Below are 19928 nucleotides of genomic sequence, written 5' to 3'. Positions count from 1 at the left end.
GATGGTCTGAGCTCTTTCTGTCTCAACTGCAAGATTTTCAGGCTTTAGATTTTATTCTTATTTTTTCTTTTTTTCTTTCTTGGTGTTACATATTTACAGTTCAGGGTTTTTTTTTAATTTGTTTTGGTTTTTATATATTAAATATAATGTTTATTACAGAATCTGTATATTTGAAAAACAGAGAAAAGAGTAACATATATACACATACGTATATGTATGCAGCTCCTTTTTTTCCAAGTTTTTATTGTGGTAAAAAACACACAATATACAATCTACCATCTTAACTATTTTTTAGTGTGCTGTTCAGTGCTATTAAACACATTCATAATGGTGTACAGCTATTACTACTATCCATTTCCAGAACTCTTTTCATCTTGTAAAACTGGAACTCAGGGTTTCATTTTGTGTTTTTTTTTTTTGTTTCTTTTTTTGTTTGTTTTTTTTGTTTTTTGTTTTTTTGACAGGGTCTTGCTCTGTCACCCAGACTGGAGTACAGTGGCATGATCACAGCTCACTGCAGCCTTGACCTCCTGGGCTCAAGCATTTCTCCCACCTCAGCCTCTCGAGTAGCTAGGACTACAGGTGTGTGCCACCATACCTGGCTAACTTACATATGTTTTGTAGAGATGGAGTTCTCACTACGTTGCCCACGCTGGTCTCAAACTGCTGGCCTCAAGTGACCCTCCCACCTCGGCCTCCCAAAGTGTTGGGATTATAGGCATGAAACACTGTGCCCGGCCAGGAAGTTTTTGACACCTGCTTTCTCCCCATATTCTTGCATCTCCATGTGTATTTTCCAAAGGAAGCAAGACAACTGATTTTGCAACAGGATGGGTGTGCCTTTGCTTCCTCCACATTGTGTGCTCCCGGTCAGTTTTTCATGAAGATGGTGCTCAAGATGATTTTAGGTGGAACAAGAGGTATTTCAGCATGGAACGTGGACACAGCACAAGACAACACTAAATCAACTAAATCACTCAGTGAGAAAGTTGTTCCCTTTCAACCCTTCTAATGACCCCAAGGAATAAGTCTCAGTTTAGTGAATATTTGCTTTTAACATCTCTCTAACCCTTGCTAATTCCTTTTTTAAATAAACAAACAAACAAAGGGATACCAGGCTCAGCCTTAGAGCCTTCTGCAAGCAACAACCTCTAGCCTGAATTTAACAAGCTGTTTGGTTTCCATTATTCTCATTCTTACCATCACCTTTTATTTGTGGCAAATGATTTTGATTTCCATTTATGGTGGTAATATCAAATGCCCTTTCAAAAAAATGTGCTTAAGTTTTTAAAACAGAATCCATAAAAAAAAAAATACTCATTGTCACACTGGTCTGTAAAGATATGCAGCAAAGACCAAAACTGTAAAAGCAGTTTGAGAATGTTTGAAGATTAGTGAAAATTGTATCAGGCAATTAAATGGAAATATTCACATTTTCAACTTCCCATAAAGTTTCTGGTGCAGAAATCATAAAAGCCTCTCATATAATGCATTTCTTTTTTCTTCTTTTTTAGAAATATATAAAAGAGATCGACAATGATCAATAAAGTATGTGCCGAATCTCCTTTCTAGTCCTTGGTGTTGATGGGAGGGAGGGGGTCAGTAAGCTGACTGCAGCTGTAGGACAGAACATCAAAAGAAGAAGCCACAGCAATAGTTTTTAGTGGTGCAAATGGGAGTCTACTGACTGCCAACTGCATTTACTGTTTGAAAACTTGGAATCAAACCCAAAGATGTAAAGTGAAGCTTCCATCTCTTGGATAAGACATCAAAATCAGCCAGCACTCATTAAACAGTACTTGGCATTAAAAGAAAAAATGTTACTTCCCTGTCTGCAGTGGGCAATTTAAGCAAAGTCGGACTCGATTTACAAGTCAGGATAATTTTTAAATGTCCAGAAATAAATCACTGTTTACAATAGTGATGAAAATAAGGGGAAAAGCAATGGAGAGTTTTCTAGAAAATTACATGAACAATGTAAATACTTTCCCCAAACGATGGGATAATGGGATGGTTTAAAACAATATATCCAGGCTTGTTTGTTTGTTTGTGTGTGTGTTTTTGAGGCAGAGACTCGCTCTGTCACCCAGGCTGGAGTGCAGCGGCATGATCTCAGCTCACTGCAACCTCCACATCCTGGATTCAAGCGATTCTCCTGTCTCAGCCTCCCGAGTAGCTGGGATTACAGGCACCTGCCACCACGCCCAGCTAATTTTTGTATTTTTAGTAGAGACGGGGTTTCATCATGTTGCCCAGACCGGTCTCAAACTCCTGACCCCAAGTGATCACCTGCCTCGGCCTCCCAAAGTGTTAGGATTACAGGTGTGAGCCACCCACCTGGCCAATATATCCAATCTTTAAAAATAAATCTAGACATAAAGCAATTAGTCTCCATTTTCCATCTCAAAATTTGACCTTTTTCTCAAGCCACTACACATTAGCTAGTTGCCAAAGTGAAGACAGATTCTACTTCTGGCCAGTGTTGTTATGATCCCTAGAAAGGAGGAAAACAATCTAAACATATTCTAGACCCAAGAGCCAGACTGTGATGGATTAGCTTGGTTACAAAGCAAAGCACTTACGTGAGCTGAGACATCGTTCTGGTGGAAAGCCTTCCGCAATGCCTGTGTGAGCCCTTTGGCGATACTGAACTTCAAGGATTCACTGATCTGCACTCTCCTTTGGGTGAGAAAGAGAACTGTGGGGTAAAATAGAAGCATGGCAATCAGGCAAGGCGACAAACCTCATCATTCACTTGCCCTCTGCTCCTCCCAACCACCACCTTCTGCAAGTTCTGGGCAGAGCCGGTAAGCACAGGGCCATCATTGAGGGGGTGCGCTGGGGTGGTAGCTCTGTGGGTCCCGCTAAAGTCCTAAGGAAAGAAGGCCCTAGCCATTTGTGTGACCCGAGTAGAGAGAGAGCTGGTATGCTGGTGGCGTTTCATTTCTGACAGATGCTGCCTCTGACTTTGAAAGCCGGCTCGACAGTGCATGCGATGAGATTCCTGCAACAACATTCATGGACAGCCTCCTTAGGTGCAGGCCCTGAGCTCGGTGCTGCGGCCTCAAACAACCCTGGATCAGGAAGGTGCCATCCCCACCTCGCAAGTGGGATGGAGACAAAGGACAGAGAACAGGTATTTGGGATTGAATGTGACAGGTATTGTTTGAAGGGAAGCCTAGGACGCTGCCAGAGCTCCTAGGAGGAGCACCCAGCCCTGAGTTTGGTAAAGGGATGGGGATCAGGGAAAATTTCCATAGGAACTGATGCTTCAGCTAAGTTCTGAAGGATCACAAGAGTGAAATCTGACAAGGAGGAAGAGATTGCCCTCACCCACTCTCAGCAGAGGGAGTACCAAGCGCAAAGGCGCAGGGGAAAGAAGCAAAATATTTCAGTATACAGCAGTTCCCTCTTAGCCACAGTGTTCTTTCCATGGTTTTATTTACTGCAGTCAACCACAGTCTGAAAATAGGTGAGTATGGTACAATAAGATATTTTGAGAGAGTCAAAGAGAGGGAAAGAAAGACCACATTCACATCACTTTTATTACAGTCTATTGTTATACTTGTTCTATTTTATTACTGGTTGTTGTTGACCTTGACTGCACCTAACTTATAAATTAAGCTTTATCATAGGTATGCATGAGTAGGACAATTCATAGTTGACATAGGGGTTGGTACTACCTGCAGTTTCAGGCATCTACTGGGGGTCTCGGAATAGATCCCCTGCAGATAAGAGGGGACTACTGTATATACAAGTTTAAGCTTGGTCCTAAGGGCAATGGGAAATGAGTTTTAAGCAAAGGAATGCATTTTAGAAGGTTCTTGACTACAGACTGGAGAACAGATTGAAGAGGTGGGACTCTGAAGGCAGAGAGATAAATGTGGCTGTTGTTACAGAAATTTAGGTGAGTGATGATGACAGTGTGAACTAGGGAAGTGGCAGTGTGAAATAGGATGGAGAGAAGGGGTATCCAGGAGGTAGAAGTGAAAGGAACTGGTGATTGATTAGATGTAGCTGGGTTGGTGGGGGGGCTGGGAAGAAGACAGAGAAGAGAATGTTTCCAACTTCTGCCTCTGAGGGGCCAGGGCTGCCTGCCACCCAGAGGAGAGTGGAATGGAGCAGGGACAGAGAGTGGAAACCCAGATGGTATAATTTCTTGAGAAACAGAGAGAGATACTGTAATTTTTGTTATGCCTAATTTCATAATTTCCCATTTTAGAATAGGATATGTCTCAAGATATGATTTCATTTAATTCTTTGTGGGGTGAGGAGGAAGGCAGGATGTGAGCATTCAACATTGGCATGCTCTTTCAAATAATTTGTCTAATTTTTTTTATAGCAAACATTGCCACACTATTAAAAGCTCTCCATGCATTCTAGGCCTGCTTTGCTACAGCTGGGGAATGGGGGCTTAAAAGACAGCATTCCATCCTTGCTCACAATTCTGGTGCTGCCCATCCCACTTTTTCAAGAAAGTCTTTCTAACATCAAAAGAAATCCTGGGCTCCCACATAGTGTGCAGAAGCTGTGCTTTTGCTATCAGCTAATTGAAAAAATGCATGACAAAAGCCTTTCTGAACTCTGTAGCACTTCCCAAGATGTTGTATCTTACAAACCACATCATTCATTCATGTGAGACATCATTGATGCAAAATGGTACCTTTGCATTCTTAGACCCACTGGCAGAACCATGGTTTCCTGGGACTTCTGATATCAGGACTGATCCTAGGACTAGAATCCATGCCACATCAGGCCCTCTCTCCTCTAACACTTGCTAAAGCTCATGGTTTCTCAACTTTGGCCCTATGGATGTTTTAGGCTGGATAAATCTTTGTTGTTGGGGCTGTTCTGTGCATTGTAAGATGTTGAGCAGTATCCCCAGTCTCTATCCCACCAGATTTTAGTAGTATCTCCAGCCATCAAGCATAACAACCAAAAATGTCTCCAGACATAGCCAAATGTCCCTGGGGGAGGGTGGAAAAATGTCCCCTGGTTGAGGACCACTGATCTAAAATAAACATTATGGTTACATCTCTGAGGCCAGGCTTGCTGCTTTCAGATCAGAACAGTGGTCTCATACCTGTCTTCACCAGGAGCTTACTGGACATCTGACACTCCAGGTTGGATGCCATTTTGCCAGTCGTGACCACTGCAGCCGATGCAGCAGGAAGGACAGCATCTGTGTTTTCTGCTCGCAATGGTGGCAACCGGGTGGCCTTCACTGAGGCTGTAATGGATGTCAGCGCGGCCGTGACTGTCAGTGGGCGTGGCGTGGATGCTCTGGGCATCTCCAGGTTGGTGGGGTTTGGGAGGCCGGTGTGCATGGCTTGTGGTTTCCTGGGGAGGTAAGTTGTAGACAACAGGCCAGAGGCAGTGTCCATGTTTCCTTGCATGGCTGTATGTGTGCTCGTGGTATGTCCTGTTCTTGCATACATGTAGGTTGGTGTGAATGGGAAGGCTGTATGGACTGCCCCTGGTGTCCTCTTTGGGCCAGATGCGGCCTTGTTTGTGACATTTTTAGCAAGAGTAGTCATCGAACTGCTCTTAGCTGGTCCTGAGGCCACGGCCAAAGGGCTGCTGCTGGTGCCCTTAGCAACCAGGGCTGCAGACAGTGCAGGTGGACTTGATTTCCTCAGAAACAATGTGACGGCAGCTGCTGCTGTTGGCTGTACCTTAGATGATACTGTGTCCGCTGTAAAGAGAGAAAAAACAAAGTTTGTCATTGGCTTGGAATGCACGTGTCACTTGTTCTGATGATGAATGGATGTAACTTATGGATTTGCTAGGGTGAAGTCTCTGCAATCTGGGCTTGCAGTGGACAGAACTTAGGCAAAACAACTCTAGGCTCATAAACTTGATTAACCATAACAAGAATGCCACTTACAGCACAGCTATGGTTGATAGCAAGGATGCTTACATTGTGAATAGTTTCGAAAGCTCAGGTGGGCACAGGATCAATGAGGTGACTACTTGGGGCTACTAACTCATTCCTGATCGGGGGTATGAGCTCCTTCAGAGCAAAGCTGGTATCTGCGTTGAGCTTGAAGATGCTTTGACCACAAAAGCAGTCATGCCTGTTTTGGGGGTACCGGGAAACAAACTACCTGCATTAGTGGCTGCACCTGTCCATTTCTTGGGGTGCTGAGAAGCCCGCAGCACTCTGGAGGAGGTCCTGGGAAAGACACTGGTCGATATAGAAGATTCAGCAGCAGAGTGATATCCCAAGATGTTCTGGAATGGTGTGGAAGCATTTCTCTCAGGTGATGAATTGATGTCACTGGAAATTTCAGAACCTGTATCTGTTCCATCTGAAAGCATTTCCTGCAAGCTACCTGTAGAAGTTGGTCCTGGTGAGGTTAGCAAAAGAGGATGTGCTGGCTGGTTGGGCAACTGTAGCTGAGGATGAGACACGGAATGTCGAGTTGTGGGTGAGTAATATGCAACTTCAGCTGTTTGGAAGTCTCTGGAATGGTTGTTATTGCTTGTGGGCCAGAGGTCTATATGGCTTCCAACCATGGTCATGTCTGACTGTTGCACAGGCTGCTCAATGCTTGTACCGAGGACTAGATCCTGAATACTAAACCCTTCTGCAGTCACTGAATGCCCAGCAGTATCTTTGAAATCCTGAGATTTTATGGCATCGGCAGCTGAAGTTAAACCATTGGGAGGAGCTGTTGGAGCTAAATGAGTTTCCCAACTTGTGGTGCTAATTGTGTGTCCATTTAAATCATAATTTGTTTGCTGCTGCAAGCCAGATATTATTGATTCTGTGGAAAGAGATCCAGTTTCTGCTGAAAGAGAACTCCAGAAAACATCTGTGGTTGCTGGCTTTTTCATGTCTCCTATTGTTAAGGAATCATATACATCCATGGAGGAGGGCGATGCTCTCACCTGTTTGGAAGCTGAAGCTGGCAACCCAGAATGGTCCACAGCAGCTGCATAAGCCTCTGGCTTGGTGCTGGAAAAGCCAAGAGATGGGAAAACAGTCTGGGTGGCTTGTATGGAGAGTATGGAAGGTAGAGGTGGTCCTGAAGGAAGGGGATTCGTCCTTGGTGCTGTAATGATGGGAGATGAGACACTACCGGTGCTGAAATCAGAGACAAATCCATTTACAGTGTGAAGACTCAAAACCTCTTTCCTTGGAAAGGCCTGGAGAGGAATCGTCACATTTGCCTCTTCATTCTTCCCTAAAATGGCTGTCACACTGTCCTTTTTCCACCGGGGAAATGTCCAAGATGTGGAAAGAAGATTAGGAACTTTGCTTGAGAGGAGCAAGTCTCTAGTTGCAGGAGGGGACCCATCACTGCCCTCTGCTGGAAGAGTGGGCATTTCTGGCACAGGAGATGGGGAGGCATGATTCTCTGTGGGCTGGAGGAAAGTAAGTATGGAGGGAAAGTCGGCTGTCCCAGTTGATGGTGATGCGGGAACCGCCCCAGAAAGGATGGCTTGCTCTTGACCCAGTGTGGTGATATGCAGAGAAGGCACCAAAGAAGAGGTGTGTTCTGCCGAAAGGGCGGGCCCTCTGGAATTCTCTGGAGCTGCTGACAAATGCAGCGGGTTAGCAGAGTCATTTGCAGTGGCAGAGGCTAGCTTTCTGCTGGTCATTTCTATGGCCCCTGATTCTGCAGTCTGGAAAAGTGGAGGCTCAGCCTCATGGGTCGCTGTTTCTGTATTCTTAAAAGTTGGCAAAGACACCCCATTGTGCACTCTTCCAGGCACCCCAGCTTTGATCTGCTGGGTGGATGCAGGACCTGAAGCCACTTCCAACATTGACCATGAGGGGCTTCCATCTGGAAGCTGAAGAAGACTTCCAAGTGCTGGGGGAGGGGGAGACGGATGGGACAGTTCTGCCATGGGGCTCAAAAACCCAGGTGTGGATGAACCTGCTGAATGGGGACCCTCTGTTGGGGACAGCTCGGAATGCCATTTTGTTGAGGATCCAGAAACACCTAGATGAGGGATGCCTATGAGATCCTGGGCATTTTGGGATGCAGTGTGGTCCATTTCATCAGAAAATGGGATTAAGGGATTAGCTATGTTCTGACCTAAAGAGGGGTCGGCTGGAGCTGTTTGGGGAACTAACAGCACTTTGGGGGATTGCTCTGCTGGCTCAGAGATGATGGAATGAGGTGAGTCAGGAGCCAATGAAGAGGATGGAGGTAGAGGGAGGAGTGGGGGAATGTCTGACCTTGGGGGATGCTTTGAAATGGAGGAAGTCCCTGCCCATACTGGCTGGGATGGGGGGACAGCACTGAAGGATGTCCCTGATGGGACTGTGGACAACGAGGGGAGCATGCTGGTGAGAGGCAAACCTGACACATCGGCTGCTTCTTGTCCCCCTTTAGGCCCCGGTTGGACCAGGGACTCGGTAGAATCCTTGGAAGGTTCGAGGGAGGCGCTATGTCCGCTTCCTTGGTAAAGGGAAGAAGAGAAGTCCGCGTGAGCCCTAGTTCTGTGGTGTGTCTTGGACGCAGGGGTTCGGGCTGACTGTGGCAAGCTTGTGTTGTCAGAGGACTGTCCCAGCACGGTCTTGATTCTGTCTGCTGCTGAGGAAGACCTGACTTCTGTGAAAGGCCATGTTGGTGAAATTGGTAACAATTTCCCGGGAGGAAATGACTCTGGAGTCCGGGTGACATTCATCTGTAGATTGTCTGTTCCTGTGAAACAAAATATCAGGCCGTCAGGTGTTGGATGCTCATGAAGTGCCTGCTGTGGTCAGGTGCTGGAGACAAAGGTGTGTGCAAGACAGGCTCTGCCCGGACCCATCACAGAAGGCTCAGGAAACAGAGTCAAACAACAAATTACATAATATCAAGTAGGAAAATGTTGCAGTGAACCTACAGGGCAGGGTTGGTGGGAAGCAGTTTCTGATGAAGTGATGCTTAAGGCAAGATGTTGAAAATACTTGTGTATTAAAAAATTGTTTTGGTACCACCTACAAGGCGTGGACTGTGAAACTTGCAAAGCTGAATGTGGTCAACTGCCATGGCCAATGACACCAAAACAACCTCATCCAGGAAACCAAAATGCACGAAACTAAAGAAGAACTGTGTATTCAAGCACGAATCTTTTTTAGGACCCTGAGGCATCTCATATGAAATATTTGAGGTTGTCTGCGTTTGGAAAGATGGCTCCAATGAAACATATTTATCTTCCTGGATTTAAAAGGATTCCAGGTGCTATCATTCATGCCATGTCAAATAGCAAAGGAGATTTTCTTTCAGATTAGGCTATTTCAGAAAGAAAAACCAGGAAGGAGACACTTCTCACAGGGCCTGGTGTCACTATAAGCACCTGCAGAGGCCAGAAATATCAACACTCATGTGTGGCCCCACAGGCAGACAGACAAGGAGGCAGGGCATAAGCTGGTGACCTCCGCTAAAAAGGAGGCGAGGAAACAACTCTTGGAAAGCTAGAAGTTCACTCTGAATTAGGCAATATTCTGAAAAATTCCTTTCTCATTCTTCCTTTTCTTTAAAATTCCCCATTCTTGGGGTTTACGGATACCCAAGAAATTGGCCTTACATCATTTTTAGAACTCATCAGGGTATAAGCCAATACTACATCAGGTTTGTTGACTTGATTTTATAAGAGAAACCAACTCCATCTCCTAGGCAGGCCGTAATCATATGCCCAGCTCAGCCTGACTGTCTCCTGATCACCAGATCAGGATCATTGGGGTGCTTTCTGAAGAGCCAAAGCTCCCTCTGGCCTCCACTGGCCCACCTCAAATAGAAATAAGTGATAAAATGCATATATAGCTCCAAGACACTAAAGTCTGCATAGTATTTCATTAAAATGCATGCCCTCCTTAGGAACTGCTTCATGGTTTGCAATGGAAATTGTGTTTCTATGTTACCACATGCAGCCTAAGGAGGTATTCCCCCCTCAGACACTTGCAATTTTACACAGAAGGTGGATGCTGCTTTCATGCCTCAATCCTCCCTGTTCATGTTGCTTATCTCCTAGATAGCCTCAATTTCACACTTTGCATGCAGTCTTATCTGGTTACTTATATGGGTAAATATAACATCTGTATAAGGTACTTTTGCATTTTTGTATTTTTCAGTTAAACTTTAGAATCCACTTTTATGTGGATGTCAGGTGAAATCTGTGTAGGATTTCTTCTTTTGTACCTTTGTTTAAATGGATTCAACCATGAGTCCAACTTATGGATTCAGAATCAAAACAAATTCATCTTGTTTCAGTTACATAGCCTTGTAACTCAGGAAAAGGATGCTACAGGCTGAGCAGCTTTTGCTTTCAGCAGGAAGTTTTGCAAACTCTTTCACACACACACACACAAAAATTCTGCAAACAGGATGGAGGAATAGGGGCTAATACCAAGGGATCTGTAACTGACTGAATGACCACGGCCAAGAGAGACTGATGGAAAACTCCATGCTGAAGTGAAGAAAGGCAGTCTCTAGTGGATTTGCTTCTACTGGACCTTGTTGTTTTCCACACTAGAAACTAGTGTTTCCCAAGATAGCTCCTATGAAACACAGTATTCCAAATGTCTCATGAAGAAAAGTTTCTATGAACAATCTTGAGAAGTGCTTGACATTCACATGTGAAAGTCATTAATGATGCTGACCATATCTTTCCGGCTCTCCCACTTCTAAGCCCATGGGAGGACTGAACGTCTTGGATACTTCTGTGGTTGATGGGGGCCATGTAACTAGTTCCAGCCAATGAGTTTGTAAGCAGAAATGACAAGTGTCACTTCTGGGCTAGAACATTTAAGTGCTGGAGGAAGACTCTCCGGAACTTTCTTTCTCCATAGCAAAACAAAACAAAAAGAAACAAAACCTAGCAACATATTTCAGGAAGTTGCTACTGAAAAACAGAAGGAGGAGGCAAAGAAAGAAGAGAAAGAAGAAAGTAGCAATGTTCAAAGTGTTTGCTGGTTCACCAGCCTGCATCCCCTATGGACTCTGCTGACAAAGGATATATAGGTAGCACAAGCAAGAAGTTAGCCTTTGCTATTTTATGTCACTGCAATTTGGAGGTTGTCATTGAAACATAATCTACCTTACCCTAACCTATTCAGAAAGTGATACCAGAGTAGATTTGGAATTTATGTGGGCATATTCCCATCATCATGTAAATAAAGGCTCAGAAAACTCTCATAGTCAAGAAAACATAAGAGGTATATAGTAAAAAATTAATAAATAGGATATTGGATGGTTTAATTAAACTTTGTTTAGCCAATATTTCTCAAACATATTTGACTGCTGCAATATGTTTGGGATATTTCTCAGAAATATTTAACCTCAGAATTGACTGACTTAAAAAAAAATGCTCAATGATCCACATAAAGCCAAGGGAGAAAGCATGTTCACTGAATTACCAAATGATGCCAAATTCAGAAGAACTGATTTGAAGAATTTCAGAAAAACATGTTTCAAAGACATGTCAACAGACTGAAATTATTACTAAAGGAAGACATATATTAGGATTAAACAGAAAGGCTTGCCCTTAGTCCAAAAATTACCTAGACAGGAACAGGACGGGGGCACTTCCCTTTAAGAATAGCCTATGCTATCTGTAGGCAGAGTTGACTAGAGTTCCTTATGAACTAAAAGAGAAATATAGGCCGGCAAGGAAATGACAAATCCTTAGGTTACATTAATTTTTTTTACTCTTTAACTAGAAGAATAGTTCATACTTAGAAAATAATATCTACATGTAAAATATCTATATGGAAGTATCTATATTTAGAAAATAATATCTATAGGAAATCAACACTCATGTGCCTCTTAGCTTAACAACAGAGTCAATATTTTTAGAGCCCTGTCCCTGGTATCTCTCTGGATTCCCTCTGTCTTTCTTCTCCCCAGAGATAACCACCATTATAGGTTGAATTTTTAAAAATTAGTTGATTTTCAAGGGGATCAGGTTCACCATTCTCTGCCCTACTCAGCGCATACCTGGTCAGCTGGGATGATTTCTGAGTGTCACATCTTAAGAAAAACATTAAGAAACTGATACGTGCTAGTACATGATCTTTTTGGAGGTGTTTTACATTATAAAAAGGAAAACGGTTAATAAAGGGAGAGTCCCCATTTGCACACTGGAGTGAGGAGATCCCTGGTGGTACTCAAAACTTCATGACTGAAAAAGCATATTGATATGGCTAGGCTTTGTGTCTCCACCCAAATCTCATCTGGAATTGTAATCCTCATAATCCCCACATGTCAAGGGAAAGACCAGGTCGAGGTTATTGAATCATTGGGGCAGTTTCCTCCACGCTGTTCTCAGGATAGTGAGTGAGTTCTCACGAGATCTGGTTTTATAAGGGGCTCTCCCCACTTCACTCAGCACTTTACCTTCCTGCCACCTTGTGAAGAAGGTGCCTTGCTTCCCCTTCACCTTCCACCATAATTGTAAGTTTCCTGAGGCCTCCCCAGCCATGCTGATCTGTGAGTCAATTAAAACTCTTTCCTTTATAAATTACCCAGTCTCGGGTATGTCTTTACAGCAGCATGAAAATGGACTAATACACATATCATTCCAAAGTATCAACTTTATTTAAAGATTTAGGGGAAACATACTCATATATAAAGATAAATATACATTCTTGAGTAGAATGCAAAATTCAAATGACTGATCCAAGATAAAACTAAGGCCTTCAAAGACATGTCTGTGCCTGTCACTGACCCTGGGGTATCAGTTTACCCTTCACTGTTATAGCAGGTATTAATTATGTCAGTAAACATTTGAAAAGACTGATTCAAGAAACCACAATCTCCCTAAAACATGTGAAAAAGAAACTGGATGTGTTATTTAGTGCTCCAGGGACAGAACTAGGGACAGTGGGAAGAAGGTATAAAGAGAGAGATTAGAACTTAATAATAACAGAACATTTCCCTAATTATTAAAACTACTGAAAACCAAATGAGCTGGCTTAAAGTCAGTGAATTCTCCACCATTAGAAATTCCCCAAAGTGCATATTTTAGGTTCACTCATCTCATCTCACCTTTCCTTCCTTCCTTTCTTCCCTCCCTCCTTTTCTACCTTCCATCTGCAAATGCCTGTTGTATGCCAGACACTGAGTTAAGCAACGTCTTAAGGAAAAACATACATGGTCTCCAGCTTCATGGAACTCACAGTTCTATGGGAGATATGGACACCAGCATTTTTCAAATGAAAAATGATGTTACAGATGAAAGATCCATAGTCCTGTGATCTGATCAGGGAGGTCAGAAAGCACATCCCTGAGGAAGTGACTATCAAGATCCAAAGAATGAATAAAAGTTAACCAAGCAAAGAGGGTAGGGAAAAGCATTCCACATAAAGGAACAAGCATATGCAAAGGCCCTATGGCAGGAAGAGGCATCACGAGTACAAGGAACTGATAAAAGGTAACCACAGCTAGATCAAGAACAGCAGGTGGGCAAGATTAAGGCTGCAGAGGGAGGCGACAGCCGGACCATTGCTCCAGTAGCCATCACCTCCCTCTGCAGCTTTGTAGGTTTTAGTTTGGTGGGGAGGATGCGAGCAGGTGATGCACAGGAGCAAATTTCTGTTTTGGAAAAACCATCCTGGCATGAAGAACAGACGGGAAAGAGACAATGGCTGATGGCAGAGTGCTTAGAAAACACCTGCAGTGGTCCAGGCTCAAGACGACGGGAATGTTGTAAAGAGGAGTTGAGCCCTGCATGGGAGATGGAAACAGATCCTCCTTTATGGTCCCTTTCAATTCTCAGAGTTCCAGATTCTATTATTGATTTAAATAGTTTGTGTTTACACATGCAATGTTTTGAGTTTTTTCTCCTTTATGCCTCCCATTAAGAGGTGGTGTCTATGTCCCCTCTCCTTGAATCTGAGTGGGCTTGAGTCTGTTTGACCAATAATGCCACGTGACTTCCAAAGCAACATCATCAAAGGCCAAGCCACTTTAGCTTGGTCTCCTGGAATGCTCGCTCTTGGGATGTTCCCTCTCTCTCTCCTGGAAGCCAGCCCCCACTCTGTGAGCAGCCCACACCACGTGGAGAGGCTATGCCTGACCACTCCAATCCACAGTCCCAGCTGAGCCAAGCCTGCCTGGCATGCCAGCCCAGACAACAGACACATGAATGAGGAAACCTCCAGACCATTCTTCCCCTAACCATTTGAATCACTCCAGCTGTCTGAATCGTCCCAACTGAGGCCCAGACATCATGAGGCAGGGAAAAGCCATCCGCACTGTGCCCTGTCTGAATTCCCAAAACCATGGGCATAATAAAATGCTTGTTGTATTACAGCACTGAGCCAGGGGTGGCTTGTTGTACTGTAATAATAACTGAAATAGTATATGTGTGGTCGTGTCCCTCACTTCTGGGAAATGAGTCTCTATAGCTTTAATCAGATTCTCAAAAGGATTCAGAAGCCAAAAATTGGTTAAGAACCCTTCACTTCAATGAAAAATAATTTTGCTTTATACATAAGATTTTAGAATTATGTCTACGCTAATTAGGTAAAACATATCTGTATTAATTAAAGTTGCATTATGGAAGGCCATAAGACAGAAACACAAATTTTGAGGAGGAAATGAGAGATAGCTGATGTTTATTAGGGAGAAGGAGAAAATAAATTAGGAGAAATAGGGCAAAACCAAATTACAGAGAACTTAAAACACACTTTAGGAAGGCACTGAAGTAAAAATTTGATCTAGGTGGTATGTCAGGCAGACTCTAATGTGACCCCATGATCTCCATCTCCTGGTGGTCATGCCTTTTGTGATCCACTCTCTTTGGGTATGAGGAGAACCTGTGACTTTTTCTTTTTTCTTTTTTGGAGGGGGGACAGGGTCTCACTCTGCCACCCAGGCTAGACTGCAGAGGTGTGATCATGGCCTACTGCAGCCTCAATCTTTTGGACTCAAGGGTTCCTCTCAGCTCAGCCTCCCTAATAGCTGGGACGACAGGCACGCACCACCAAGCCCAGCTAATTTTTGTATTTTTTGTACAGACGGGTTTCGCCATGTCACCCAGGCTGCTCTTGAACTCCTGGGCTCAAGTGATCTTCCCGCCATGACCTCCCAAAGTGCTGAGATTACCAGCATGAGCCACCATGCCCAGCCAACCTGTGATTTCTTCTAACAACAGAATAGGAGATGGGATGTAACTCTTGTGATTATATGATCATATATAATACCGCATATTGCAAGCAGACTTCTTCTTGGTGCCTTGATAAAGTAAGAGGCCACAATGGGAAAGCCCAGCTGGTGAGAACTGTGGGTGGCCTCTAGGAACTACTGGTGTCTCTAGGAACCATGAACAGCCTCTTAGAGCTGATAGCCAGAAATAAGTCAAAGCCTTCAGTCTGGCAGCCACAAAGAAATGAATTATGCCAACAACCTGAGTGAGCTTGGAAGTGGATTCTTCCCCAGCCAAGCCTCCAGATGAGAACACAGCCCAGCCAATACCATGTATGCAGCCCTGTGAGACCCTGTGCAGATAAGCTGTGTCCAGCCTCTCAACTCATGGAAATTGTGAGATAATAAATGTATGTTGTTTTAAGCCACAAAGCTTGTGGGGATTTGTCACATAGCAATAGAAAACTAATACAGGTAGGAAGCAGGGAGCTTTGGAATGTTGTATGGTGAAGCAGGAGAGTAGGAAGAAGGGAGATCACAAGGTATCATGACTAAAGAATGGTGAGAGTTTGCCATCAAGACAGTCAAAAAGCAGCACAAGTCAGTAAGTTTGTTTGGAACATCATAGAGAATGAGTCATGAAATAAAGATTGTAACATAGCACCTGAGACTTGGAGGAAGTTATTTAAAGAGAAAACAGAGCTTTGCAAGAGTAGAAACAAAACCACACCAGCAAACGCATTGAAATGTTGCTATGAAACAGGCTGTACTCTTATTTTTTAATTCCATTTTTCAAGAAAAAAAATACTAAGCCATTCTAGCCAAATTACAGAATTTTAGTTTTTATCAATAAACTTCCACTGACTCCCCAGTGTCTCTCCTTTCCCCCAAAAAACCATGACTTTCTTCTACTTAGACTAAATGACATGAATTACTGTTTGCTCACAAATACGGTAATAGTCTTCAAAAAAATTGTGGAAAGCGGCCAGGTGCGGTGGCTCATGCCTGTAATCTCAGCACTTTGAGAGGCCAAGGGGGAGCAGATGACTTGAGGTTAGGGGTTCAAGACCAGCCTGACCAACACGGTGAAACCCCATCTCTACAAAAAATACAAAAAAAAAAAAAATTAGCTGGGCGTGGTGGTGGGAACCTGTAATCCCAGCTACTCAGGAGGCTGAGGCAGGAGAATAACTTGAACCTGGGAGGCAGACGTTGCAGTGAGCCAAGATCACACCACTGCACTCCAGAGAGCAAGACTCTGTCTCAAAAAAAAAATTGTGGAAAGCAAAGGTAAATCCTACACATATGAGAGGGAGACAGACAGTAATGGTTTGCTGCACAAGCCCCAAACTGGCTGCCTTTTCTGAATGTTTACAATGATTGCCCAACCAGGGACAAGCCAACAATCCCCTTGTGTTTGGACCGACAGTATTTCCCACAAGGGGGAATTAGTCGTCTAAAGAATTTTGCTGGAAAGTAGCTTAAATGATAAGAAATTTAAGGAGGTGCTGGATGAGGAAAGATAGGAAACAGAGATGGATTTACGTTGGAAACAAGGGTGAAAGCAAGCAAGATAAAGACTCTCAAAATAATAAAAAGTTAAAATGAGTCATCCCTCCCATCTCAAGGAGACAAGAATGGGTAGTCATACAAAACCCTATTCAATACACAATTTATACACATACATTTTCACTAAGCTTGTCTGAGCCAGACAAGCTGAAATAAAACCATGATTCTCAGAGCTTCAGGAAAGTGACAAGTCACCCCAGTAAGGCTATCAGGCTTAATAACTTCCACAAATTAGGATCACGTGCATGTATGCACATGCAGGGTAAGTATCAAATGTTTTTCTGTGCTTTGCAAATTTGCATAGAATCCCATGAATGTTAAACTTAGCCTTGAACTAAACGCATCAGAGAGCAGTTTATTATCACTGTGAAACATAAAAGGAATTAAGAAAGTGCTTAGCCAGGTTTGGACACACAGAACCTGTTATTGACTAATGTCAAAAAACAGTGCAAACTGCCTCCTGAGACTCCCCACATCTCAGGAACCACATGCATAATGACAGATTGTTCAGGCCTCTGTCTTCCTGAGGCTCTTCGCGCTGCTAGTTTATCATTCTCAGTTCTTGTACACAAGACTCAGACCCGGGCTGTGATGCTGCTACACTCTAATTATTCCCGCCATGTAGCAAACAGAACTTTAACCTCAAGGAAGTGCACATGTACTGATCTGGCTCCCCTTCTGCTGTTACCTCCTGTCTGAACCTCTCCCCCATCAGGCCTAGGGCTATATCAGTCCCCTGGTCATGATGCTTTTATCACAGACCCCAGAGTCTGCTACTTAAGGAGTACTCTCCCTTCAGGTTCAATGCTGCCCTGGATTGCTTCCTGGTTTGCTCAAAACTACTCTTGTAATCCAGCCACAGTGGTGGTTCTTTCTCAATCAGCAGTGTCCCTTTCTTTGACTGCTGGAAACACTGAGGGAGAAGAAAATCTTCCCAAGGTGTCAGTATAAGCATGGCTGCATTTCCCACAACAGTCACAAGACAATCCACTTTGTCCTATTCACTGCCCACTGGCAGGTTTCCTTAACGGCAGCACTTAAAGAAAAGCAAACTAGATCACTAATAGCTCTTTAACAAAATAAACGAAGGAAACCAATTAAGAAACATTCATGGAGATGCCAAACTCCTCTCCCTTGTATGTCAGAGAAAAATATCTGCAGCTTTTGATCAGGCCCTAGAATCAGACTGGCTGGATTCAAATCCCACTTCTCCATTTGCTAACTGAGTAACCTTGGACAAGTTACTTAACATCTCTGTGTGCCAGTTTCCTTATCTGTAAAATGGGGATAATTACAGTACTTACCTCACGAATGGTTTTAAGGGTTAAAATGAGCTGATACGCGTAAAGTCCTTAGAATAGTGCTTATACAGCACATAGTGGTCAAAAAGTGTTACTACTGTTGCTGTTATTATTATCATTATTTGTTCAGTCCAGGCTAGGCATAGATGCCATCAAAGTTTTGCTCAGAGGACCAGGGTTCCAGTCAGCACTCAGAAATCCCTGCAAATCATGGATTGTCAGAATCTCAAACATCTGTGCATGCCTCATAGTTGGCAGGATATTTTCATATCTATCACCTCACCTTGTTCTTCCATAGTACCTGTGAGATAGAGAATCAAGATTATCTCCATTTTACCAATGAGGAAACCAGAGCTCAGAGAGGGCAAGGGCTGGCTTAGTCAAGGTCACACCAAGAGTTATTCTGCAGCCTAGTGTGACTCAGCCCTGGGACTCCAGAGCCGAGGCTCTCTGCACCACGTGGGAAGGAGTCAGTCTTCCTCCATCTCCAGATCTGGGGCGGGCTCCACTCTCCCAGAGTGGTCTGAGAAGACTGGGGCCCACAGAGCTGCCTCATTCTTCAGAGTTTGATGATGTGTCTCTCTCCAGGGCTGTTTTGGCAAACATTACTGAGCACGGCTCTAAATCACCAAGACCCGTCAGGCTTCCGTTCCCAGAAGGTCAAAAGAGATGGACTAAGAGCCACAGCTATGCTGAAGCATCCACCCACACCCAACCCACTTAGGCGCCAAACCCTTCCACGGCCCTAAGTGCTGAAGTTTGGCACCTGGGACCTTCTTGCCTAACGTGATTCCTCTTGGGGCTTTTTAAAACGAAATGCACCAGTCAATAGAATCAAATTGCCATGCCTTGAAGTGATGCCAGCAAATAGAAGATTCTGTTGACTGCACTGATAGAAGCATTTTAACTTTCAAAGCTCTTTCACAGCTATTTCTTTTTTAAAAAAGTTTGTTGGTAATCTTTTGTGGAATCAGGTTTAAAAATAAAGCTGATACCTCTCCCTCCCCATTTTATTTTACTTATTTATTTTTTTGAGACAGAGTCTCATTCCTCGCACAGGCTGGAGTGCAGTGGCGCAATCTCGGCTCCTGCAACCTCCGCCTCCCATGTTCAAGCAATTCTCCTGCCTCAGCCTCCCAAGTAGCTGGGACTACAGGCACCCGCCATCATGGCTGGCTAAATTTTTTGTATTTTTAGTAGAGACGGGGTTTTACCATATTGATTAGGCTGTTCTCCAACTCCTGACCTCAAAGATCCACCTGCCTTGGCGTCTGAAAGTGCTGGGATTACAGGCGTGAGCCACCGCAACTGGCCTCTCTGCCTCCCCATTTTAAAAGTAATAGAATTTCACTTTCACTTCTTTTTAACCTGGGTTTACATGATCATTACAGAAAATTTAGAAAAGATGGAAAAATAGAAAGAAAAGAAGAAGAATTCCATTCCTCCCTCTGCCCTGACCACGTGCACATCCCACCGCATCAAGAAAACCATGACTCATACTGTGGTAAATTTTATTTCCAGATGATGTTCTTGGAAAAGCTTTGGTTTGCTTGCTGGACAGACCTGTGATCACAATGCACATCCAACTTCGCACTGCCTTTTCTCTTTTAACATAACAAAATCATTTTTCCATATTGGATAAGGTTGCATATTATCTCCACTAAGATGTGGCATTATAATTTGTTTACCAATCCTCGACTGTTACAATACAGCTTGATTATAAATTTTCAGAATTTCAGTGTCTCCTAATTTTGTCATCACAATCCCTATGCAGCAGGTAGGGCGGCCACAATGACCTCTTTTGGGCTAGGACATCACACACACAGAAGGTCACTTGTTTGGAAATATATTATCTGTGTCAAGAAAAGTAAACCAATGGGACTTAGGGGGGTTCTTCTCTCTTCTTCTCCCGGCATCTTTCTGACAGGGTCATTAATAAGTTTAAAGTCAACCACAGAACACAGTATTAACT

General features: G+C 43.7%; 1 protein-coding gene across 9 annotated transcripts in view; it reads right to left on the bottom strand.

Moving 5' to 3' along the window:
• The window catches only part of KIAA1549L (KIAA1549 like), a 297995-nt gene that overhangs the window by 123641 nt on the left and 154426 nt on the right, over positions 1-19928 (bottom strand). For 4 of the 9 annotated variants that reach the window (XM_047426719.1, XM_005252848.4, XM_047426721.1 and 1 more), the window contains exons 2-4: positions 6108-8660; positions 5084-5695; positions 2583-2698 (exon numbers count right to left, since the gene is read on the bottom strand). In XM_047426719.1, coding sequence (XP_047282675.1) covers positions 2583-2698; positions 5084-5695; positions 6108-8660 — 3281 coding nt within the window. The remainder of the gene's footprint in view (positions 1-2582; positions 2699-5083; positions 5696-6107; positions 8661-19928) is intronic. The other 5 variants (NM_012194.3, XM_047426720.1, NM_001410965.1 and 2 more) reach the window with 3 other exon arrangements.

Source organism: Homo sapiens, chromosome 11 (assembly GCF_000001405.40).
Source record: "Homo sapiens chromosome 11, GRCh38.p14 Primary Assembly".
Classification (NCBI taxonomy): Eukaryota; Metazoa; Chordata; class Mammalia; order Primates; family Hominidae; genus Homo; species Homo sapiens.
This window is presented reverse-complemented; position numbering and strand designations above follow the sequence as displayed.